The following is a 24,926-nucleotide window of genomic DNA, read 5'->3' as shown; positions in this document are numbered from 1 at the left end:
AGGAAGAGGCGCTCCTCACTTCCTAGATGGGATGGCGGCCGGTCAGAGACGCTCCTCACTTTCCAGACTGGGCAGCCAGGCAGAGGGGCTCCTCACGTCCCAGACGATGGGCGGCCAGGCAGAGACGCTCCTCACTTCCCAGACGGGGTGGCGGCCGGGCAGAGGCTGCAATCTCGGCACTTTGGGAGGCCAAGGCAGGCGGCTGGGAGATGGAGGTTGTAGCGAGCTGAGATCATGCCACTGCACTCCAGCCTGGGCACCATTGAGCACTGAGTGAACCAGACTCCGTCTGCAATCCCGGCACCTCGGGAGGCCAAGGCTGGCGGATCACTCGCGGTTAGGAGCTGGAGACCAGCCCGGCCAACACAGTGAAACCCCGTCTCCACCAAAAAAGTACGAAAACCAGTCAGGCGTGGTGGCGCGCGCCTGCAATCGCAGGCCCTCGGCAGGCTGAGGCAGGAGAATCAGGCAGGGAGGTTGCAGTGAACCGAGATGGCAGCAGTACAGTCCAGTTTCGGCTCGGCATCAGAGGGAGACAGTGGAAAGAGAGGGAGAGGGAGACCGAGAGGGAGAGGGGAGAGGGGAGAGGGGAGAGGGGAGAGGGGAGAGGGAGAGGGAGAGGCAGAGGCAGAGGCAGGGGCAGGGGCAGGGTAGCAAATCTTTTTTCTAGATAGGACTCCCCAGCTTCTCTGTGCTTTTAAGTCTCTGAAGTTGTTTTCACATTATCAACATAACAAACTCATTGGCAGTGGGGAGTGGTTTAGAGTCTGGTTTCTTTGTTTCTATTATTTAAAGCATAAGCATTTTATTAGTCTCAATTCCATTGTGAACTGCTGAATTTTCATCCCTAGTGTGAGAAGGTCACAATAGTATTTGTTTCAATAGATAACTCTTTCTCCCTGTGCTGTTTCTCACTGAGCTGTGGTGTTTATGCCTTAAGTACCTGTGTTATATGCTACATGTTGCTTTGAATTCTGGTATTTATGCATATCTGTATATGTAAGTATGTTAATGTACACTGATATTTTGCTGTATTTGCCAGTATGTTTATGTGAAAATTTTGGTCTTGGAAAATGGTGGGTGATGTGTAGCTTGTTATTTGGGTGTGTGTATTTATTTGTATATATTTATGTATTTACCTTCGTATTGTTTGGAGGTGTGCTTATGTCAGTGAACGAGAGTACAATTTGATGCATGTATGTTCAGTCCCTATTTGTATTTAAAAATAACTCACGTTGATGAAGTTATTTTTTAAAGTTAATTTTTTTGGCATTTACAGTCGGTGCTCTGTATCCATAGGTTCTGCTTCTGCAGATTCAGCCAACCATATATCAAAAATATTTGAGAAAAAATAATATAAAAAAATACAAATTAAAAACCAATACTATATAACAACTATTTGGATAGCATTTACATTGTAGGTATTATAAATAATTTAGAGGTGATTTAAAGTATTTGGGAGAATCTGTAGGTTATATGCAAATACCATGCCATTTTATAAAAGTGACATGAACATCCAAGGATTTTGGTATCCATGAGGGTTCCTGGAACCAATCCCCCAAAGATACCAAAGGAAGACTGTATTTTAAAATAAAGCTACTTCTTTACCTTTTTGTCAACTATTGCCTTGGGTTTACTTATTTAGGAATGCACTTCTGCAGAAAGTTTACCAATGTGTTATTGATCTCGAGATTGTATTAAAATAAAAGATTTATTTATTGTTTTCCTTTATTTAGTGAGTATTTCTGACTATTATTATGGGAATTAAATTGTTTATGCATTTATTTATTTAAAATGTAGAGCCATGATAGAAATTTGAAGGACATTCTCAGTAACTTTATGTCCTGTTAGAGGAAAGATTTGAAAGCATACTGGCTGGAGAGGCAGAAGATCTGGGTTCTGGTTTCTACTTAGTTTGAACTTTCTTGGACTTAGTCTCTGTATCTGTAAAATGAAGGACTGAATTAAGTTATCCTTACAGCCTTTTCTAACTCTTAAATTTTAGGATTGATTCTTAATGGTTTAAGATGTGTTAACAATGGAATTACCCTAAATGTCAAATCCCATTGTTTTTTAGGTAATAAAAATTATACTGAAATCATTTGAAGATATATTTAGTCATTGTAGAAAGGCAATTAAATACCCCTGCTTTACATAATTGAAAAGCAAGTAGTGTTTCCTTCACTAGGAATATAGAGTATAAAATCTCTTAAAAATTATTCTTAATGTGCACCAAAATTATTTATTACTGTTTTTTTGAGATGGAGTCTTGCTGTGTTGCCCAGGCTGGAGTGCAGTGGCAGCATCTTGGCTCACTGCAACCTCTGCCTCCTGGGTTCAAGTGGTTCTCCTGTCTTGGCCTCCCAAGTAGCTGGGATTACAGGTGCATGCCACCACACCTGGCTAATTTTTGTATCTTTAGTAGAGATGGGGTTTTACCACATTGGCCAGGCTTGTCTTGAACTGACCTCAAGTGATCTGCCCGCCTTGGCCTCCCAAAGTGCTGGGATTACAGGTGTGAGCCACCGTGCCCAGCCTCGTGTGCACCAAAGTTAAAATGTCTGAGAAAGAGGATGAAAAATTTTAAAGTTTTAGGGCCGGGTGTGGTGGCTCACGCCTGTAATCCTAGCACTTTGGGAAGCTGAGGCGGGTGAATCATGAGGTCAGGAGATCGAGACCATCCTGGCTAACACGGTGAAATCCCGTCTCTACTAAAAATACAAAAAATTAGCCGGGCGTGGTGGTATGCACCTGTAGCCCCAGCTACTCGGGAGGCTGAGGCGGGAGAATCGCTTGAACCTGGGAGGCCGAGGTTGCAGTGAGCCGAGATGGCGCCATTGCACTCCAGCCTGGGCTACACAGTGAGACTCCATCTCAAAAAAAAATTTTTAAAACATCCCTCCCTATTTTACAGCTAACGACATAGATTTTATAGGTTACAATACAAACTATTTCCTTTATGTTGGAAAATGATTTGAGGAAATGATTTTATGTATATTCATGATTTCTGCCTTGAACGTTTTACTTCTTTGTTAGTTTCACAGAATCAGCTTGAAGCTGTAATTAAAACTAAAAAAGTAAAGCAAAACTGCCAGGAATATTACATGACACTTTAAAAGATTTATTCAGAAGTTTAATATATTCACAAGGTACAAACTTTAAAGTTACAAAAAAGGCATAGAGTGAAAAGTCTACCCCAGTTCCCTGGTCACTCATTTTTGCTCCAGCCACTCACTTCTGCTCTTTGTAAGCGATAGTCTTGCCAGTGTCTTGTGTCTCTTTCCAGAGACTATGTAGAAGCAAATAATTTTTTATTTAAAAATGTTTATATTTGAATAGGTGATACATATAGATGGCAAGAAAATTCAAAAGGGCAGGCAGTGAAAATTTTCTTCGCTCACCCACAGTTCCCCAGTTTCTGTGTTTCCCTCTGCAGAGACAGTCATCCTTTCTTATATATCCTTCTGGATGTTGTCTATAAATATGGAGGCATTGTTAGTGTAGAGCATGGTGGTTTTTATGAGCCATCCCAAGTGTAGTATTTATTAAGATAGTGCATTAAAATGATAAAATTAATCATACATAGAAAATTACTGCAAAGTTTGGAAAAGATTGAGTAAAGTAGCTATTGTACTACATGGCTTTCGAAATTTCAAACAACACAGGTGTGCACTTCTTAAACTCTCTTCTTTATGGAGTATTATAATCTTAGTATAAATAAGTAGGAAGACATGAAACAAGAATATAGAAATTAAGCTGAGGACATTTTGTTTCCAGGATCTGGGAAAGAAAGAAGTTTATGAACTCACAAGTGATTGTAGAGCATCTCTGTGGAAATAAATGGTTAAGTCGGTTTGAAGCAAAGCCCTTCTGGGGCAGAAAAGCCTCCAGAACGCCAGATGTCGCTGTGGTTCCGCGGTGAGAGAGGGCGTGCGTCTCTGTGGTTATAAAGTTGGGGGTGGAGTGGCCGGGAGATGATGGCTGATGAAGAGGAAGAAGTCAAGCCGATCTTGCAGAAATTGCAGGTGGGGCCGTAGATTAAATTCTGTATGTGTTTTTGTTACTCCGAATGAAGCAGGGAGTCCAGTTTATGTACTGCCCGTGAATTCCTCGGCACACACGCGAAGCTGCGTGCGTCTGTGTGGTTACTATAACAACCCTCGAGGGTGCAGCCGCAGCCAGCCAGGGAGCCTCGTTGGAACCTCCTGCTGCCGACCTGACTGCGGTTAATTTCAGTCCTGTATGGAAGAAGATTTGTTGCTCCTAACTGTTCATGTACATTTTTAGAGAGGACGTTGTTTTCTCGATTCATCCATAGCGAATAGCATATACATGTGTGTGGCAGATCTGCATGAACTACTGTCACATGTTGTTTTGATCCCTACAAAAGCCATTTAACACCTTTCTGCTTTGAATTTGGCAACAATCACGCTAATGACCTGCACTGCAAGTGTCCTGGTTACTCCCCTTAGGATTTCAGTTTTGATTTCTTTCAACCTGTGTAATTCCACTTTGGGGTCTGATGCAGAGGGGTCCAGACTCCACATAGTCCACAGGTAAGACTAGTCTTTTGGACTTGGTAGGGAGGCGTTAACTAGTTGCTTGGCTCTTTGCCTTTAAGAACCCATGATTTTCCTTACACCTCAGGAACTCAGTTCTTCGTTCTAAGGCAGCCTGTAACTTAAATATTAGAACTATGACAGGCTTGTAACTTGCCTAAAGGTGTTTAACGCACAAATTTAAATACTGGTGAAATTTCTTTGTTCTTGGGTACATTAAAATAGTAACACTTTTTAGAGTGTTCCAGCTGATTTGGATTAACTTCATTTTATTCCCTAACTGTGACTGGCTGAAATCAGAGATTCTCAATTCTGGTTCTATATTAGAAACATTATTTGTGTATATATGTTTGTATATGCACAGAAAAAAATCTGAAAAGGTATACAAATCAGTGGTTATCACTGAGGTTCTTTGGGGTAATTTTGTACTTTCTTTTTTTTACATGTATCTATTTGAATTTTAACAACTTACATGTATTGATTTTGCCATGAAAAAATAAGTTTCTAAAAACATTCAGTCCAGAGGAAAACAAAACCAAACAATAAAACCAAACAACTTCTTGAATGTTTGGTTTAACAACTAAAACCAATCAATAAGCCCTTCTCTAAAACTCTTAATTTGCAGCCATGTTGATTGCAGGACAAAAGGAAATTGGTTGTAATTTTTTATGAGAATTGTCTTTTCCTAGGTTCATTTGTGGTAAATGTCCTAAGCAGCTTGGGAGAGGATACTTCCGTTATCTTGGGGTGGGGTCGGTGCAGGAATGGAATAAAGGAGTGAAGTAGAGAAGAGGAAAAGGATTAGATAATGGTGTTGCTGTTCATGGAGATGGTGGTAAACTTTGATTTCATTGTTAAAGACATTTTAGTGTAAAAAGAGTGTATAAATGGATATTTCTCAAAGTGTGTTTTACAGACAGTTTCATTACAGTCATCTGGGGTGCCTGTTAAAAATGTAGAATTTTGAGTTCTGCTAAACTGTTAAAATCAGAGTCTCTGCAGGCTGGGTCTTGGATATAATACAATAAAATTTGCAGAGGGTGCTAGTCTGTTCCCTTCATTCTGGATAGGATTTTAAATTAAGTATAGCACATATGTATTTGTTAGAACAGGGATAGTTAGTTAGTTAATTCAATCAAGTGTAGTGAATTAGAGCCTATCATGTCCCAAGTCCCGTTCTGGTGCTCAGGTGTAGCTCGAAACAAAACAGATTAAAGGCCTTTCCATCCTGGAGCTTACATTTCAGTGGTGGAGGCAGACAATAGACAATTAATGATAGGCCACATGATTTTAAATAAGTATGAAGAAAAATAAGAGTATGATATAACAGTAGAGGAGAGAAGGAATGGATTCATTTGGGTTGAGTAATTAGGGAAAACCTTTCTGGAATTGATATTTGACCTAAGATCTAAATGATGATGAGGAATAAGTTATGCAGAGATCTGGAGAAAGTGTCCAGGCATAAGGTCTTCCAGGTGGGCTGAGCTTGATGGGTTTGAGAAACTGCATGAAGGCAACTCTGGCTTGAGTATTGTAGGAGAGAGAATGGTGAGAGGTGAAGTTTGTGTCAGGATGGGTGGTGGTAGGTCAGCTCATACAGTCTTCTAGGTCATGATAAGGACTTGGATTTTATTCTGTCTGCAATGGGAAACTATTTGAAGGTTTGTGATATGATGTACGTTTTTTATAAGATCACTCCCACTACAGTGAGGAGAATGGGAGAGAACAGAAACAAGATGACTGGTTAAGAAGCTCTTGCAGTCCAGGCAAGTAATGAAGCTGATGTAATCCAGGAATGGTCATAGTGGGATGGAGACAGGTGGATGAATTCAGGATGTGTTGTGAAGATTGTTGATTACACTCGAAGGGAAGTGATTATATCTTTCTGCTGCTATCTATTTAGTTTCAGGAAAGAATAGGATATCTGTTATCTGAAATGCTTAGGACTCGAAGTTTTTTGGATTTTGGATTTTTTTGAATTTTGGAATATCTGCATATACATAATGAGATAACTTGGGGATGGGACCCAAATCTAAATATGAAACTTGGTGGCTTATGCCTGTAGTCCCAGCACTTTGGGAGGCTGAGGTGGGAGCATTGCTTGAAATCAGGAGTTTGAGACCAGCCTGGGCAACCTACGAGACTCTTTTTTTTTTTTTTTTGAGACGGAGTCTTGCTCTGTTGCCAGGCTGGAGGGCAGTGGCATGATCTTGGCTCACTGCAACCTCTGCCTCCCAGGTTCAAGCGATTCTCCTGCCTCAGCCTCCCGAGTAGGTGGGACTACAGGTGTGCGCCACCATGCCTGGCTAATTTTTGTATTTTTAGTAGAGACCGGGTTTCACCATGATGGCCAGGATGGTTTCGATCTCTTCATGATCCGTCTGCCTTGGACTACCAAAGTGCTAGGATTACAGGCATGAGCCACCACGCCTGGTGACCCTGTCTTTTAAAAAAGAAAAAAAAAAAATTGTTTCATTTACACTTTATACACATAGGCTGAAAGTAATTTGATACAATATTTTTAATAATTTTGTGCCTGAAACAACGTTTTGACCGCATTTTGACTGTGTGTCAGGTGTGGAATTTTCTACTTGTGGTGTCAGCGTTTCAAAAGTTTCAGATTTTGGAGGATTTCAGATTTTTGCATTAGGGATGCTTGACCTGTAGTAGAAAAGCTTTGCCTGGTGTGACAGGAAGACTCAGAGGCATTTAAGAGGAAAGAGAATATTTATTTGTAAAAAATCCAAGGCAGCCAGAAGATGACTTGACAAAAAAATCAAACTAAACAAAACCACAATAAGCATTTAAAAGAACAAAATGCTGCAAAGATACCAAAGTTACCAAGTTCAAATTGGTATGTTTGTGGTGGAAAACAATGACTCTCTAACATGTTTATTATATTCACAAAGGTTGTGTTGTATTTTCAGATCTCAGCATATGAAAAATCAGGGATAAAATGGTTTTAGTTGAGAAGTCCAACTTTAAGGGTAAATTTCAAAGTGTTATTCTTTGAGGACCAGGACCATATAGAATGATCTTACTAACTTTTGGTTTATCTTAAGTTGCAGTGTTTCCCTCCTCATGACTGTGGTATGTGAAGTGCTTAGTCATATTAGAAGCCCTGCTGAGGCAGGGAGAGAAAATGGTCATCACAATAGAGACACTGGCATGGGACAACATGGGACCATGAGAGCTGGCCTGGGGTACTGGCTGCTTTTCCTCATGATTTGTGGCATTTTAGTAAACCTGTCCACCTGCCTATTGTGCCATTCATAGGTGAGAAAGAGAATTGGTATTTCTAGACCAAGAGCTGGTATGGCTAGCCAATTTCAAGTTTCCCTATCCAGTGATCTTTCCACTTAATGGTTCCATTGTCATACTTTTTAGGAACTCGTGGATCAGCTCTACTCATTTCGAGACTGCTATTTCGAGACACATAGTGTTGAGGATGCTGGGAGGAAGCAACAGGATGTGCAGAAGGAGATGGAGAAAACCCTACAGCAGATGGAAGAAGTAGTGGGTATGAGCCCTAGAGATTGTACAACCCCCATCCTTCAGTGAAATGTGATTGACCTTTGCTCCCTCCTCATTGACTCTTTGGTATCCTATCTGTTACTGCTATAGGGTAGTACAACGTAATACTACTTCTCAGGGCCCCTGTGCAACCTTTCATTCCCTAAGCCACTTTTCCTAAAATTTGATTATAGCAAATGGCATGAAATGAAAGAGCATACTTACTTGAACTATTGCAGTAATCTGACTTTCTGCCTCTAATTTCTTTTACTTTCAAATCCACTTATATAATACCATGGCCATGGCTATCTTTCTAAATCATTACTTCATGCATTTAACCTTATCCTCTCATCTGCCTTTTTGCTCAGGTATCTTTAAAGATTCCTGCTATTGACTAGCTGAAGTCTAACCCCCTTAACCTGGTATTTAAGTGTCCATTGTTTTACTCTGTTTTCTAACCTTATCTCTGACTAATTACTTGTAGAGGAACTTTCTGTTTCATCCAGGTTGAACTGTCTATTCTCCCATGAACATGGCCACATGTACTTCTGATTCTGTGTCTTTGTTTATATCATTTTCTAACCTGGAGGGTCTTTTCTTCTCTCTCTCTGTTTTGTTTTAACGATAACTATTTGTCCTGACTCATCTTCTCTTCACTTGTTAAAGCCCATTCATTGGGCTAATGCCATATGCTCTTTTTCATGGTTTTAATTTTCCATGTTTACGCTTTGTCTTCTCCACTAGATTGTAAACCCCTCTAGGAAAGTTAGCAACCGAGCTGATCCTTGTAGATAGGGGCCCAAGAAACAGATGGCAGAAGCTCTAGAAATAGTGCTTTCTTTGTTGCCTAATTAGCTAACATACACTCTGCCTATGGTGAGCTTTCAATAAATGGTTTATTGATAAATATTTTCCCCAACTCTTTTTATTCCTAAAACTGACGTGTAGTTATTTTTTGAGAGAAAGTGCCCTGGTCTTTAACTTGTTTTTTTCCCACTTTATCTTTTTTTCTTCCTCTTAGGTTCTGTCCAGGGCAAGGCACAAGTTCTAATGCTAACTGGGAAAGCACTAAATGTGACTCCTGACTATAGCCCTAAGGCTGAGGAGCTTCTGTCAAAGGCTGTGAAGCTGGAGCCCGAGCTGGTGGAAGCCTGGAACCAGCTGGGTGAGGTGTACTGGAAAAAAGGGGATGTTGCAGCTGCCCACACCTGCTTCTCAGGAGCCCTCACCCATGTGAGCTGCCCCCTATCCCTTTGGAAAGCAGAGATGGGAAGGATGAATTTCTTTGGTTCTATGAGTTTCCCTAGGACATGAATACCAGAGTAGAACTGAAATTGAACTAGGACAGAATCAGGAGGGAGGAAAGGTCAGAGAGCAGACCTGAATGAGGAAAATAGAGGCAGGGGCCTGGGAAAGGAAGATGATGATGGGATCAGGTTCAGGGGGAGAAAGGAAGTGAAGAAAAGCTAGCAGCTAAGCTGATCCCTGTGGATGGGGGTTGAAGATACAGATGGCAGCAAGAATTTAGATGAAAAAATTAGGGCTGGGTGTGGTAGCTTACACCTGTAATCCTAGCACTTTGAGAGGCCGAGGCAGGAGGATCACTTGAGCTCAGGAGTTTGAGACCAGCCTAGGCAACATGGTGAGACCTTGTCTCTACAAAAAAAAAAAAAAAAAAAAAAAATATATATATATACATGGACCAGACGTGGTGACTCATGCCTGTAATCCCAGCACTTTGGGAGGCCAAAGTGGGGAGATCATTTGAGGTCAGGAGTTCGAGACCAGCCTGGCCAACATGGTGAAACCCTGCCTCTACCAAAAAATACAAAAATTAGATGGGCATGGTTGTATGTGCCTGTAATCCCAGTTACTCAGGAGGCCAAGGCACAAGAATCACTTGAACCCAGGAGGTGGAGGTTGCTGTGAGCTGAGATCGTGCCTCTGCACTCCATCAGAGTGAGACCCTGTCACAAAAAGAAAAATACGGCCAGGCGTGGTGGCTCACACCTGTAATCCCGCGCTTTGGGAGGCTGAGGCAGGCAGATCACTTGAGGTCAGGAGTTCAAGACCAGCCTGGCCAACATGGTGAAACTCAGTCTCTACTAAAAATATAAAAATTAGCCGGGCATGGTGGTGCATACCTGTAGTCCCAGCTACTTGGGAAGCTGAGGCAGGAGAAAGACTTAACTCGGGAGGCAAAGGTTGCAGTGAGCCGAGATCACGCCATTGCACTTCAGCCTGGGTGACAGAGCAAGACTCCACCTCAAACAAAACAAAACAAAAAACTTAGAAAGGTAAAAAATTAGATTTAGAAGACTGAGTTCAGAATAGATCTGGAAAGGGGAGGTAGAATCAGGAAGATTGAGTATGTGCCCTTCCTATTTGCAGTGCAGGAACAAAGTCTCCTTGCAAAACCTGTCAATGGTGCTTCGTCAGCTGCGGACTGACACTGAAGATGAACATTCTCACCATGTCATGGACAGTGTCCGACAGGCTAAGTTGGCTGTTCAGATGGATGTCCATGATGGCCGCTCCTGGTGTGAGTGCTCTCAAAAGATCTCCAACAGGTTTCTAGAGCAGATGTTTTCAATCAGAGCAACATTTGCAGTCCCTCTTTTGAGTGTGATTCTGAGGTTTAAGCCAGAGAGGGCATCTTTGTTTTGAAGACACACGAAAGACATTTTGGGGAACTACTTTTCTAGGAACTCTTCGATCTTTTGATCCTAGTTTTCACGTAAGCAAGGAAGGGCTTTTGTACAGTCTGTTCAAACTTCAGTTTGGTGTCCTTGGTGCTCTATCCTAGTGGAGTTTTGGGTATACTAAGTATCGTGTCATTCCTGGTTTGGATTTCTTGTGGGACCTTTCAAATATACTTTCAAGAATGATCAAAATAAGTCATATCTTGAACTTGGACTCTGAGATGATTTGTCACTGTGTTTCTCTTTCAGATATTCTTGGGAATTCATATCTTTCCCTTTACTTCTCTACTGGCCAGAACCCTAAGATCTCCCAGCAAGCCCTCAGTGCCTATGCCCAAGCAGTAAGTACTTATGGTCACCAGGCCAGATGAATAGGCAACAACAGAAGCAAGAGCATTGTTCAGTCTTCTTTGTGGCCCTTTAGCAAGCATCATGGGCAGTGGCAGTGTTTGCTGGCATCTCATTTTTGTGATTTTGCAAAGATGTGTCTGCAGAGATGACTGACTTCTTATAACTTGAGTGTTAGGAACCACTTGCATCGTGTCGCATTGGTGCTGGATAGCTCCTTGACCTGTCTGGGTTTCTTACACACATATATAACCAAATCACAGAGCTGCCTCAACATGTTCATCTTTTTTAATGGGAAAAAAGTCTATTAAAATAATACTTATTAATATTTTTGTACATTCATTTTAAAGAATAATGAAAACTTATACTTCAGTGTAAATTAAGTGCTATCCCCAAATTAACCGTTAGGTAATATTATGGCTCTGGATTTCCCATGGGCTAAAAGAGAAAACAATGTGTAGCTTGTTCTGTGTCATTTCCTAGGAATTAAGTGAATTAGGTTATTTAGGTTTTCAAGAAATTTATTTAGGTTTTCAAGCATTTTTATGTTGATAGGCATTTGCATAGGGCTTTCCCTCAGACTTTGAGTGCCTTTTTTCTCATTATTAGAATTGGCTTCTGACTTCACATTGGTCCTCTGAGCACTTTTTATTTAGCTCTCATATTTACCTTTCTTCTTTTGCTTCTCTTGATATAGAGAATTGCTTTTTAACTTATCATTACTTATTCTGCTCCCTGTGGTAGAATAAAGAACACAGTTACTGTATGTTCATGTTTGCAATTCAGGGACTGCCCTTTTAAATTGGTTTTTCTCCCCCTCCTGCCACTCTCCCCACAACTCTACCTTTGACTTTAAACTGCCCTTTTTCAATCACGGAACTTTTAGAGCAATTATATTTTACTCTAATTTCTTAATTTGGTGAATGTTTACATTTTAAAGAATAGTGTGGTATATTCCTTCAACATTTTATATTTGGCTTCTGCTAAATAGTCACTTTTTAATCTTTTTTTTTTTTTGAGACGGAGTCTCATTCTGCCACCCAGGCTGGAGTGCAGTGGCACGATCTCGGCTCACTGCAACCTCCGTGTCCCAGGTTCAAGTGAGTCTCCTGCCTCAGTCTCTCAAGTAGCTGGTATTACAGGCACGTGCCACACCATGCCCGCCTAATTTTTGTATTTTTAGTAGAGGCGGGGTTTCACCATGTTGGCCAGGCTGGTCTTGAACTCTTGACCTCAGGTGATCCATCCGCCTCGGTCTCCCAAAGTGTTGGGATTACAAGTGTGAGCCACCGTGCCTGGTCATCTCTTTTTAATCTGAAGTTTTTCGCCCAGACCTGCATTTGTAAACATATCTGAACCAACCATTTAAACAATTTTAATTCATGTTGTTTGTGCTTTTACAATGCGCCAGGTAATGAAGAGAATTAAAAAAATATAATAAGCATAGTCATGAACATAGCCAGCAGTTGCTTCACAGCACATGGTCTGCACTGTCTTGTGGTGTCTGGCCATCTATTTTATCTGTTTAAAAAAAATTCTTTTCCTGGCCATCTATTTTAGTTAGAGTCTGAATTTGGTTTTCTATCTGTGTTTTAAGGGAACTTGGATGTAGAAACATGATTCCGCATGTGTCTGGAGCTAGGTTTATGGGCAGAGGAAATGCATTAAATGAACACCATTTCTATCCTAGCCTTTCTTCATTTATTACCAGCACTTCACTATTTAAATTTTTAAAAATCAAAATGATTTCACCTATTTCATTCATTTATTTATTTTTTTTGAGATGAAGTCTCACTCTGTCACCCAGGCTCGAGTGCAGTGGTGCAATCTCGGCTCACTGCAACCTCCACCTCCCATGTTAAAACAATTCTACCTCAGCCTCCTGAGTAGCTGGAATTACAGGTGCATGCCACCATGCCTAGCTAAGTTTTGTATTTTTAGTAGAGACAGTGTTTCACCAGGTTGGCCAGTCTGGTCTTGAGCTCCTGACCTCAGGTGATCTGCCAGCCTTGGCTTTCCAAAGTGCTGGGATTACAGGTGTGAGCCACTGTGCCCGGCCCACATATTTCATTTATATAAAGATTTATTCTATCTTAATACTACTACATGGATAAATTATAATAATATTTTGAAGTCTCACACATACAAAAACACTTATATCCCTAAGGTTTTGGGACTAAGATATCCACACTGTTATACGGTAACTGCTTCTGTGGTATAAATACCATTTTGGCAAGGAAGAAACTTCCATTTCTCTAGAAAGAGGAGGCGTAGGACATGTTGGGCATGTCAGTCCTTAACATTGAGACAGGATCCACTGATAATCTTTTCATCCCATTATAGGAGAAAGTTGACAGAAAAGCTTCTAGCAATCCTGACCTTCATCTGAACAGGGCGACGGTAAGACCTTTGGGGTGTAGTCATCTGAGGGTCAAATAAATAAGACACCTATGTCTTAGCTTGTGAGGATAACTGAGTTTGCATAGGGACAAGATTGGGTACAGACTGCGAGAGGAAAGCCATGCTATTTCTATAAATAGCTAGCTCGGTTTGGCTTCAGTATCTGGTGTAGTCACTGGAGGGAAAGGAGAAGGGGCTGTGGAGGTGGAAGAATAGGTAGAGAATGGGGGGATCTTTTAGAAGACTTCTGAAATGTTAAGTAAATATAAAGGTCAAGTGAGCCAATATATACAACTTAACTATTTTAGAGTTTGGAAATTAGCTTCTTTGAAATGATTCCATCTTTGGGGTTGTGATCATCTTGGCTAGGAAGAAGGATGTAAGGTGTTACCAGCTCTTCAGGCTGTTTGTTGCAGCACAGGAAAATAACCAGGAAGGAAAACAGTTTATTTCTCTAGATTCCTAGCCCATGGTGCCATTCCCTCGGGATAGTTTGTCTGGATATACTTATAATTGGGATACACTTCTTGTACAGTTGCATAAATATGAAGAGAGTTATGGGGAGGCCCTGGAGGGCTTCTCTCGGGCTGCAGCCCTGGACCCTGCCTGGCCAGAGCCCCGGCAACGAGAGCAACAACTTCTGGAATTCCTGGATAGATTAACCAGCCTCCTTGAGAGTAAGGTAAAAATGTCTGAAGGGCTGAATTCCACTTTTTTTTTTTTTATTTTGTCGTGGGTCAATAAAATAAGAATAAATAGGTTTACGAGGTAGAGACCCTATAGAAGTGGGTGGGAGGGAAGGATTAGAATCTCAAGGAAGGCGACTAGTTTCCAGCTTCTTACCTATTTCCCCTTCTTTGCAGGGAAAGGTGAAGACCAAAAAGCTGCAGAGCATGCTGGGAAGCTTGCGCCCAGCCCATCTAGGCCCTTGCAGTGATGGGCACTATCAGTCAGCCTCTGGGCAGAAAGTGACCCTGGAGCTCAAGCCACTGAGTACGCTTCAGCCTGGGGTGAACAGCGGTGCCGTCATCCTGGGAAAGGTGGTATTTAGCCTCACCACAGAGGAGAAAGTCCCCTTGTGAGTTTCTCTTGGATTTCCCCCATTTTACCCTTTTGAACTAATTGCTCTCACTTCCTGTTCTTTCCCTGGCAGTTGAGGAGATTGTCAGTGGTCACAGATTTGTGACTTCTGATTTCCTTCTGTGACTATCCCGTGGGCAGATATTGTCTGGGTGATGTTTAACCATCTTTTGATCAGAGGCTTTTGTAGATTCTGTCACTGCCCATTTTGTATCCCTGAGTTTGGTGCTATGTGGATTCCTATATCCATAGTTGAAATTTGGCAGGACATATTTTTTTATAAGACAGAAACCTCAAAATTCTTCTGTCCCTTTGCATTTTCATGATCATAGAAGTTGAAGGAGGACAAATTTCTTAGTCCTGTTTGTACTTAGGTATACTTAGTTCTGAAAAGTGAGCTTTGAGTTATAATTTAAAGTCTGGTTGGGAGATTGTCTTAGATGTCATTCAACAAATATTTATTGAGTGTGTAATATATGTGTCATAGGGAGTGAGAAAAAAGAAATGTAAAGGACCCAGGTGCAGGTGCTTCTAGCAGCAGAGGAAATGAATTAAGAATATTTGTTTAGAAAATTTTTGGATCTTGAAAAGTTACGGTTTAGTGAATGCCACCACTCCTTGGTCCTTCACTCACTTCCTAATCCCTGGTTGACCGGTTTCCCCTTTCTCTTTTCTACTGAAATTGTTATTTTCCTAGGATCACCATTGTCTTTCTAGGCACTGGATCCAGCAACTTCTATTGCATGGTTCCAAAACATTCTGACTTATCTCTCACTATTGCTTTTCACATCCTTTCTGTTCATCTAAACAGAAATATTCACAATTCCCATTATATGCCCAAGCTTTCTCCATGGCATTTTCTAGGGGTTTGTATATTTGACGAGTTGAAGGGCAAAAAGATAGTTGAGAACAGTTTAGTTTACTAGAGCAAATCCTAGAGCTGAGAAGAATTAGAAAGGGATATAGACAAAGGTAGGTTTTGGAGGACCTTGAGAACAAATAGATATTTTGCCACTCCTTGGTTTCTCTTTTTCTGCCTAACTTTTAAATCTTAGGTTCCCAGGACTCTATTTTTGTTTTTTTCCTTTTTTCTCTTTATATCAGGATGGCCTATAGTTGCCAACTTTGATCACTTGTCAGTGGTTGCCTGACATACTGTGTAGAAGGATTCTGAGGCTTTGACTGGATTCATCAGGAGAGTGCTTTGCTTGATTGCAATATTTCCTGTGAATTCAGGCATGTCACGTGATGGCATGAGTGTGATTCTTCTCCATCCTGTCTATAGATCATCTTGCCCTGTGATGTCATATAAACCCAAGGCTTTGGCAGCCTCCTATATGCTTACAGATATATCTCCAGCCCAAGCTTCATTTCCAAGTGTTGGATTCCTATAACCATCTGCTTCTGGGTTCCAATAAGAAATCTCTAACTCAGTATTTCAGTATTACTCACCTAAATCTTTCTCTGTAAACCTGCTTCTCCTCCCTGGATTCCTTGTGAATGAATGGTATCACCTCTCAGTCACTTGATTAAGACTTTTGGAAGAATAGGCTTCTCCATTCTCCAAAAAGATTTGCCTTTTTTGTCCTATAGACTTGACTTCTCTGTGTTTACCACCTTAATTCACCCCCTTATCACTTCTCCAGATAGGTCTCCCTGATTCTCTGGTTTCCTCCAGTGTTCCACAGTGCTGCCAGAGAAATGTTTCTTAGATGGAAATCTGACCATTGCTACTTCTTATTTAAGATCCCTTACTGGTACTATATGTAGCTTTTGGGATAAAGTGTGAACTACTTAGGTTAGCATACAAAGTCCTTCATGATTTGCTCCCTGCTTCTCTTTCTATTATCTTTTGTCTCTTTCCCACCAGTGCCTTTTGTTTCAACCATGGAACAATTTTGTTGGTTTTAGAACAGCTGTTTTCATGCCTCTGTGTCTTACATACAGTTACTCTGCCTGGATAATCTCTAGCTTCTTCTTGACATAGCTAACATCCTCTTCTGCCCCCAACATTTTGTATAAAAATTTTCAAACATATAGCTAAGTTGAAAGAGTTTTACATTGAACATTTGTGTTCTCATCCACTTATATTCTACCATTAATATTTTATTTTACTTAGCTTATTACATATCAGTCTGTTTATCCTGCTATCAGAGTAAATTGCAGAGATCAATATACTTTACATACTTTAGCATGCAGTCATTAACTGAGTTCAGTATTTGTTTCAATTTTTTCTTTTTATGTAAAATTTACATACAATGAAATGTACAATTTTAAGCGTACATTTCATAGCTTTTAACAAATGGAAAATATCTGTATAACCCAAATAGAGATCATTACCACCATTCTGGGAAGTTCCCTGATGTTGCCTCCAAGTCAAAATCTCTGTTCCTATCCCCTCAGAGGTTTTTAACATTTTTACCGAGGATTAATTTTTCTCTTTTAACCCAGCTGGTTTTTTACCCTTTAAGATTCACTTTGAGCGTCACCTCTTCCAGGAAATCTTCCCTGCTTTCCAATTTTGATTTAGATATTTGTCCTCTGGGCTCCCACAGCCCAATCTGTGGCTTCATTGAATTCAGCACAAGGGAAAAGCTATTCTAGCACCCATCACACTGTGCTGTAAGTGATGACTTCATTGTCTGACTCCTGCTAGACTATAGGTCATTCATAGCTGGATTGGTATCTTATTGCTAAACACAATGCTTGGCACATATGTAATATTCAGTGAAAGTTTGTGGAGTTAAACTACACAGACAGTGATGGTTAGAGGCTTTGGTTAAGAGTATGATAGTTAAATTGATAGACCAGGAATAATGTTACAACTGTAACATGTTGGTCTAGTTCATCATTAATATTTGTTGAATGGCTTCAGTGTGCTTTGTCCTAAGTTCTTAGCAAAGTGACTGATGAGTTTCAGAAAAATGAAGACTCAGATATATAAAGTGGAAGATGGTACCTCTCATAGGTTTTCTGAGTAACTGAGAAAAAGCATTTGTTTATTTTGTTAGTATTTTATTTTTAAAGTTTAATTAAGTTAAATTTTATATTTTATTTTAATTACCTGTCACTGACTTTAAGTCCAGTATTTTGCTAGTATTTTTAAACCACTGTTTCTGCTCTTCTTTCCTACCCACATACCTTTTTGTTTTCCTCTCTCCTAATCTGTCTTTACTTGGTAGTACATTTGGCCTGGTAGATTCAGATGGACCTTGCTATGCAGTGATGGTGTACAATATAGTGCAGAGCTGGGGAGTGCTCATTGGAGACTCTGTAGCCATTCCTGAGCCCAACCTGCGGCTTCACCGAATTCAGCACAAAGGAAAGGTGAGCAATGGCTAGGATTCTCTTACAACTCGTAGGCTCTAAAAGTAGAACCAAGCTTATCTTTTTATAAAAGATATAGAAATAATTATATGTAAGTATGTGTGTAGGCTATGTGTATATATATTTGTGTGTATATGTTTTATTTATATATATATATGTATTTTTTTACTAAAAAGGTAAACTGGTAAGCAGAAAAATAAAAAAATGCAGTGAAATATTATCACTCAGGTATTACTGCCTTTTAACTGTTACTGTTAACAGTTTGGTGTATATACCTGAAGTCTTTTCTTTTCACAAATATATACACATATATCTATATTTTAAATCATGAGTGGGATATTATATGCAAATGTTTGTGAATGTTTCCTATGTTTTTACATATTTCACCACATTGAGTAGACACGGGGTGATGAAGATGGTAATGATAGTTAACATTTATTTAACACTTAATTGAGTGCTAGACACTGTGCTAAGAGTTTTTATTACCTGCCTTGCCCCATTCAATTCTTAAAAAAACCTTATGAATGTAGATATTTAACTACTGTTTAACCATTTAGATCAGAGGTTGGCAAAGCCCATTGACCAAATCTGGCTCACTGCTTGTGTTTATTAATAATGGTTTCTAGGCTGGGCATGGTGGCTCATGCGTAAAATCCCAGCACTTTGGAAGGCCAAGGTGGGAGGATCACTTGAGCCCAGGAGTTTAAGACCAGCCTGGGCTATATAGTGAGACCCCGTCTCTACAAAAAAATGTTAAAAAACTTAGCCAGGTATGGTAGCACATGCCTGTAGTCCCAGCTACTAAGGAGGCTGAAGTGAGAGAACCACTTTATCTCAGGAGTTTGAGGCTGCAGTAAGCCATTATTGTCCCATTGCACGCCAGCCCGGGTGATAGAGAAAGTCTGCCTCAAAAAAAAAAGAAAAACAAGAGTGTGGTTTCTGTGTTGTTAAGTGAAAAAAATGGACAGAAGCGTAATATTTTGTGATATGTGAAAATTACAGGAAATTCAGATTTCAGTGTCCACAAATAAAGCTTTATTGGAACACAGCCACACTCATTTGCTTACTATTGTCTGTGGCTGTTTTTGCACTATAGTGTCAGAGGTGACTTGTTCTGTAACAGAGACCATATGACCTACAAAGCCTAAAATATTTACTATCTGTCCCTTTGCAGAAATACTTTGATGACCTCCGATCTAAATTAGTACTTTTATAATAGAAAAAAAATTAGAAACACAGTGAGGATTTTTGTATCTTTGCTTGTATCTATGATTAGTTCCTTAAATGAATTTCTAATGTAGACTCCTGGGTCCAAAGGGTATGCAGAATTCTGAGGCTTTTGATACATATTGCCAAATAATTCTTTGGAAAATTGTACTAGTTAGTTGTCACTACCAACAGTGGATGTAAATAAGTGTTTCTCTGTAGTTTTTTTCTCAACTCTGGTTGGAAACCTTTGAAAAGTTATTTTCTAATTTTACATGGAAAATATAGCATGAATATTAATTTATATTTCTTGTATAAATTGCCATTTTTTGTGTCACTTGTTGATATTTCTGTGAAGACTTAAAAAAAATTGGTTTATGAGAACTTTTAAATTTACTTTACTTGGACTTAAAAGAGCCTGCCTCTCATTGCCATATTTTTTGGATGAAGACTATTTAATATGTTTTACAACTTAAAATACACTTAAACTGATACAGTGAGCTGATACCTTTTTTGTTATTAGGAAAACGGCTACATTCTGTTTCATGTTCTATTTCCTCCTCTTGATATAAAAGAGAAGTAACTTTAATTTGTATTTGGTGGATTAAATTAGGACCTTATAAACATTTGGACTGAGATTTTCTCAGGATTCCCACTGGCTCTGGCCGGCTGCTATGTGTATCTAGTTAATTATCAGGAAACACCGTGGGAAAAGGCAGATTCTATGAGAGTTGGTTGCATTCTTTTGTTAGGCAATGCCAGGAACCTGCCTTTTTTGGATCAAAGAGCTGTCTCATTCTTGTAGTGGCACTACATGACCTTACATGCTCCATGTTTTCCTTCTGAAGATTGAAAACTTTGGGAAATTTTCGTCCCCTGTGTTAGCTCAGTTTTGTCTGATGTGAGATGGAAGTAGAGGGGGTATACAACAGGGGAGGTGGTGCAGAAAGTTGCAAGTGGTGTATCCCCATGCTGGAGCTTTTTCCATCTTGGAATCTGTAGTGAACCTTTGTCTGTCTGTCTTTTCTAGGACTATTCCTTTTCCAGTGTTCGAGTGGAGACGCCCCTCCTGCTAGTGGTGAATGGGAAGCCTCAGGGATCCAGCAGCCAGGCTGTTGCCACAGTGGCATCGCGACCACAGTGTGAATGACCTTTGACTTGCATGCTCAACAGGGAGTGGAGGAGAGGAGACAAGGCTCTGGACAGCCGGTCCAGCCACATCCAGTGATTCAGCAGGGATGGGAGGAATGTTTTAAATGAAGACTTTCTCTTTCCCTGCCTGTATTACACTTCGTATCTCTTCTCTCTCCTCTGTCCTCATCATGTTCCAGCTCTCTACAGGGCCACATACTCTTCTGGCATATCTCTCCTGTCTCTTCCACTGCTCTCTATGTTTTAAGCAAAGAGCATGGAATTGGTAGAAGTCTTGGGATCTTGCCATGGGACAGAGTCCCCAAGGTTCCTGTTGTTGCCTCCTTCCTAAGCCTCATATGTATATATCAGTTCAGTATTTATTGCTAAAGGAGGGGGCTTAATTTTGTAATGGCTTTTATTTTTAGCAATTTTTATTTTTATTTTTGAACTTTAGGTCCTTCCTCTTCTTTGGGGCTGGAACAGAATTAAATTTGTTTGGAAAAAAAAAAAAACACCACGTAGTTTGGCCTGCTTTATTCTCCCTAGGCCTGTATTCTTTGTTTTAGGATCACTTCAATTTATTGGAGTAATACCCCCATTTTTTTCTTTATACAAAGCAGTTTATTTCTCTCCCAGTTAAAAGAATTCCGACAATAGACAGCCCCAGGCAGGAATGGCAACTCCACAAAGTTGCTAGAGACCAGCTTTCTTCCATTTTCCCATTCTGTCATTCCCTAGGGGTGGTCTTCACTATGGTCCAAGATGACAGAGCAATACTGTTCTAATAGTGTTACTAGGCTGAAGGACCAGAGAGAGTTAGATAAATCCTCAGTTTCTTTAGAGTCTAGTGACATGTTTTATAACAGTTTATCTTAATATCCTTGTGGTAAAATGGAGAAATGTGAGTGAGGATTAATAACCAATTGAATTGGCCTGGCACGGTGGCTCAGCCTGTAATCCCACCACTTTGGGAGTCCAAGGCGGGTGGATCACGAGGTCAGGAGTTCAAGATCAGCCTGGCCAAGATGGTGAAACTCCGTCTCTACTAAAAATACAAAAATTAGCTGGGCGTGGTGGCAGGCACCTGTAATCACAGCTACTGGGGAGGCTGAGGCAGAGAATTGCTTGAACCTGGGAAGTGGAGGTTGCAGTGAGCCGATATCATGCCACTGCACTCCAGCATGGGCGACAGAGCGAGACTCCGTCTCAAACAGCAACAACAACTGAATGGCTGTAATACATTAATGTATACAGATGAATTGAGAAGTCTTCTAGTGAAATGGCTCAGATCTTTGTTCTTGGTCCAGTCCTGTTCAGTTTTTGATCAGTGCCTTGAATATCATTGATGACTCATTAAATTTATAAAGAGTGCAGAGGCCTCCTCAGAGAATGGATGGTAGAAATGCATTGATGAGAGAAGTTTTATCTATCTATCTGTCTATCTATCTATCTATCTATCTGTCTCTATCTAAGAAGTCATAAAGGCTGAGTCTAATAAGATAAAATTTTCAGTCCATTCTTTTGGTCCAAAAAGGCTTACATTCTCAGGTATAGCTTCAACATCATATATGAATATTACTAAGAATCTTAGTAGATAAGCTAAAGTCAGTATGAGTAACCAGTCTGATATAGTTTGCAAGAACACTCTTCATGGACTGCACCAAAAAAACCTATGGTAGCAAGAGACAGTTTTTATTAGAAGTACTGTCTGTTATACCACATATGGAGTCTTAAATTAGTTTTGGGTGTCATTTTGAGGCCTAGAGTCATAGAAGAGTGATTAGGAGCTTGTGGGGTATAAAAATAACTTGAGAATTGGCTGAAAGCAACTAGGGAAGATGGGGGTAGTAGTATGTGTAAACATTTGAGGCAGTAGAGATGTGGGACCCAAATACTGTTCCCCTTTTACTCAAATTCTGAGATGAGTTGACATGTTCTGTGTAGGGCTAGAGAGTAGAAAAATGGCCAGTAGGTGGTAGCCACAGAGAAGCAGTGCGTACAAACAAGTAAGTATGCAAAATTTGTACATACGGTTTCAGGAATAACTAGAATACCCATAAAATATCCACCTGCCTTAAAAACTAGAACATCATTGATAACTTGGAAGCCCTTGCATACCTCTCCATGATCTCATTTGTCTTCACAGCTATATAAATCTCATTGTATGATTATACCATAATTTATTCATCCTGTTGTTAAAGGATATTTGGGTTTCCAGTTTTTCTTTTTTTACTACCAAAGCACTACATTATTAATATTCTTGTATATGTCCTGATATGTAAGTGCAAAAGTTTCTTTTACAGCAATGGCTCTTGAAGAGTGGTTCCCAGACCAGCAGCATCAGCATCCCTTGGAACTTCTTTGAAATGCAAATTCTCAAGCCCCCTACCCAGACTTACTGAATTCAAAACTATGTGGGAGGAGCCCAGCAATCTGTGTTTCGCAAACCCTCCAGGTGACTCTGATGCACAGTAAAATTTGAGAACCACTGTTTAAGAGTATTGACATAGAATGGAATTGCTGGATCATAGAGTATATACATGTTCAACTTTTTTGAGAAGCACTAAACATTTCCAAAGTGCTTATATTAGTTTATGTCTCTACTATCAATAGATGAGTCACCCCAATGCTCCCCATCCTCTTCTGTGCTTGGTATTATCTTTTAGGTATTGCAAATACAGGAGATTTGAGTATTATTTCCTTGTGGCCTTAATTTGCATTTCTGATTATTAATGAGCTTGAGCATCTTTTCATATATTTAGAAGCCACTAATATTTTCTCTCGGTAAAATGCCTATTCGAGTCTTTGCACACTGCTGTATTGGATGTCAAATTGATTTATATATTCCCTGTACTAATCGTTTGTCTACATACAGTTTTATCCTGTTTTTTTTTTTATTCTATTGGGTCTTTTGCTGAACAGAAGTTCTTAATTTCAATGTCATTGAATTTATCCATCTTTTATGATAATGCTTTTTGTGTTTTAAGAGGTTCTTAGCTCTCCTAAAGTCATAAGGACATTTTCCCTCTACTGCTTTATGAAGTTATTTTGTCCTTTTCTTACAGTATGACTTTATTTTATGTTATGTACGGATATAATTTTTTTCATAATGAGTAAATAGCCCAGCACCTTTTATTAAAGAATCAATCCTTTCCCTACTGATCTTTAAAGCCCAGTCTGTCTTTTTCTTTTTTTGAAATTGTCTAGCTTTTTAATTTTTACCAACCAGATGATTATAAAATATCACATAGTAGGCATAAATTACATTTCTTTGTCCATTCCTGTTTCTTTTTCTATGAAATCTCTGTTTTCTTTTGTCCAATTTTTATTGGGTTGTCTTCTTATTGATTCCTTACATGTTCTGGATACTAATCCATTATAAATTATGTTTTTCAAATATATTTATCCAAATCGCAGCTTGCTTTTTCATTTTCTTAATGCTCTCTCTTTTTTTTATTATTATTATACTTTAAGTTTTAGGGTACATGTGCACAACGTGCAGGTTTGTTACATATGTATACATGTGCCATGTTGGTGTGCTGCACCCATTAACTCATCATTTAGCATTAGGTATATCTCCTAATGCTATCCCTCCCCCCTCCCCCCACCCCACAACAGTTCCCCGAGTGTGGTATTCCCCTTCCTGTGTCCATGCGTTCTCATTGTTCAATTCCCACCTATGAGTGAGAAAATGTGGTGTTTGGTTTTTTTGTCCTTGCGATAGTTTGCTGAGAATGATGGTTTCCAGCTTCATCCATGTCCCTACAAAGGACATGAACTCATCATTTTTATGGCTGCATAGTATTCCATGGTGTATATGTGCCACATTTTCTTAATCCAGTCTATCATTGTTGGACATTTGGGTTGGTTCCAAGTCTTTGCTATTGCGAACAGTGCTGCAATAAACATACGTGTGCATGTGTCTTTATAGCAGCATGATTTATAATCCTTTGGGTATATACCCAGTAATGGGATGGCTGGGTCAAATGGTATTTCTAGTTCTAGATCCCTGAGGAATCGCCACACTGACTTCCACAGTGGTTGAACTAGTTTACAGTCCCACCAACAGTGTAAACATGTTCCTATTTCTCCACATCCTCTCCAGCACCTGTTGTTTCCTGACTTTTTAATGATCGCCATTCTAACTGGTGTGAGATGGCATCTCATTGTGGTTTTGATTTGCATTCTCTGATGGCCAGTGATGATGGGCATTTTTTCATGTGTTTTTTGGCTGCATAAATGTCTTCCTTTGAGAAGTGTCTGTTCATATCCTTTGCCCACTTTTTGATGGGGTTGTTTTTTTTTTTCTTGTAAATTTGTTTGAGTTCATTGTAGATTCTGGATATTAGCCCTTTGTCAGATTAGTAGGTTGCAAAAATTTTCTCCCATTCTGTAGGTTGCCTGATCACTCTGATGGTAGTTTCTTTTGCTGTGCAGAAGCTCTTGAGTTTAATTAGATCCCATTTGTCAATTTTGTCTTTTGTTGCCATTGCTTTTTGTGTTTTAGACATGAAGTCCTTGCCCATGCCTATGTCCTGAATGGTATTGCCTAGATTTTCTTCTAGGGTTTTTATGGTTTTAGTTCTAACATGTAAGTCTTTAATCCATCTTGAGTTAATTTTTGTATAAGGTGTAAGGAAGGGATCCAGTTTCAGCT

The 24,926-nt window shown here is 39.8% G+C and overlaps 1 protein-coding gene across 1 annotated transcript, besides 3 other annotated features; it reads left to right on the top strand.

Annotated features, from left to right (window-relative positions):
* Positions 835-1,035: a silencer, noted in NCBI's record as "peak2110 fragment used in MPRA reporter construct". NCBI's record gives its function as "represses an SCP1 promoter by STARR-seq MPRAs in K562 erythroleukemia cells {active_cell/tissue: K562}" and the evidence as "EXISTENCE:reporter gene assay evidence [ECO:0000049][PMID:32103011]".
* Positions 3,816-4,055: an enhancer, noted in NCBI's record as "active region_8067". NCBI's record gives its function as "activates an Ori minimal core promoter by ATAC-STARR-seq in GM12878 lymphoblastoid cells {active_cell/tissue: GM12878}" and the evidence as "EXISTENCE:reporter gene assay evidence [ECO:0000049][PMID:35858748]".
* On the top strand, positions 3,961-23,685 carry TTC5 (tetratricopeptide repeat domain 5). Its single transcript, NM_138376.3, has 10 exons — positions 3,961-4,025; positions 7,947-8,079; positions 9,094-9,305; positions 10,464-10,614; positions 11,024-11,115; positions 13,466-13,522; positions 14,058-14,204; positions 14,386-14,600; positions 17,785-17,929; positions 20,166-23,685. The coding sequence occupies exons 1-10, from the start codon at positions 3,975-3,977 to the stop codon at positions 20,283-20,285; spliced, it is 1,323 nt and encodes a 440-aa protein (NP_612385.2). The 5' UTR covers positions 3,961-3,974; the 3' UTR covers positions 20,286-23,685.
* Positions 13,657-14,856: an enhancer, noted in NCBI's record as "CDK7 strongly-dependent group 2 enhancer chr14:20763215-20764414 (GRCh37/hg19 assembly coordinates)". NCBI's record gives its function as "activates an origin of replication core promoter dependent on BRD2, BRD4, P300/CBP, MED14 and CDK7 cofactors, with strong dependence on CDK7, by STARR-seq in HCT116 cells {active_cell/tissue: HCT116}" and the evidence as "EXISTENCE:reporter gene assay evidence [ECO:0000049][PMID:35650434]".
* Positions 23,686-24,926: the final 1,241 nt, after the last annotated feature.

Source organism: Homo sapiens, chromosome 14, assembly GCF_000001405.40.
Source record: "Homo sapiens chromosome 14, GRCh38.p14 Primary Assembly".
NCBI classification, from domain to species: Eukaryota; Metazoa; Chordata; class Mammalia; order Primates; family Hominidae; genus Homo; species Homo sapiens.
The sequence above is the reverse complement of the archived record's forward strand: the minus strand, read 5'-3'. Positions and strand labels throughout refer to the sequence as shown.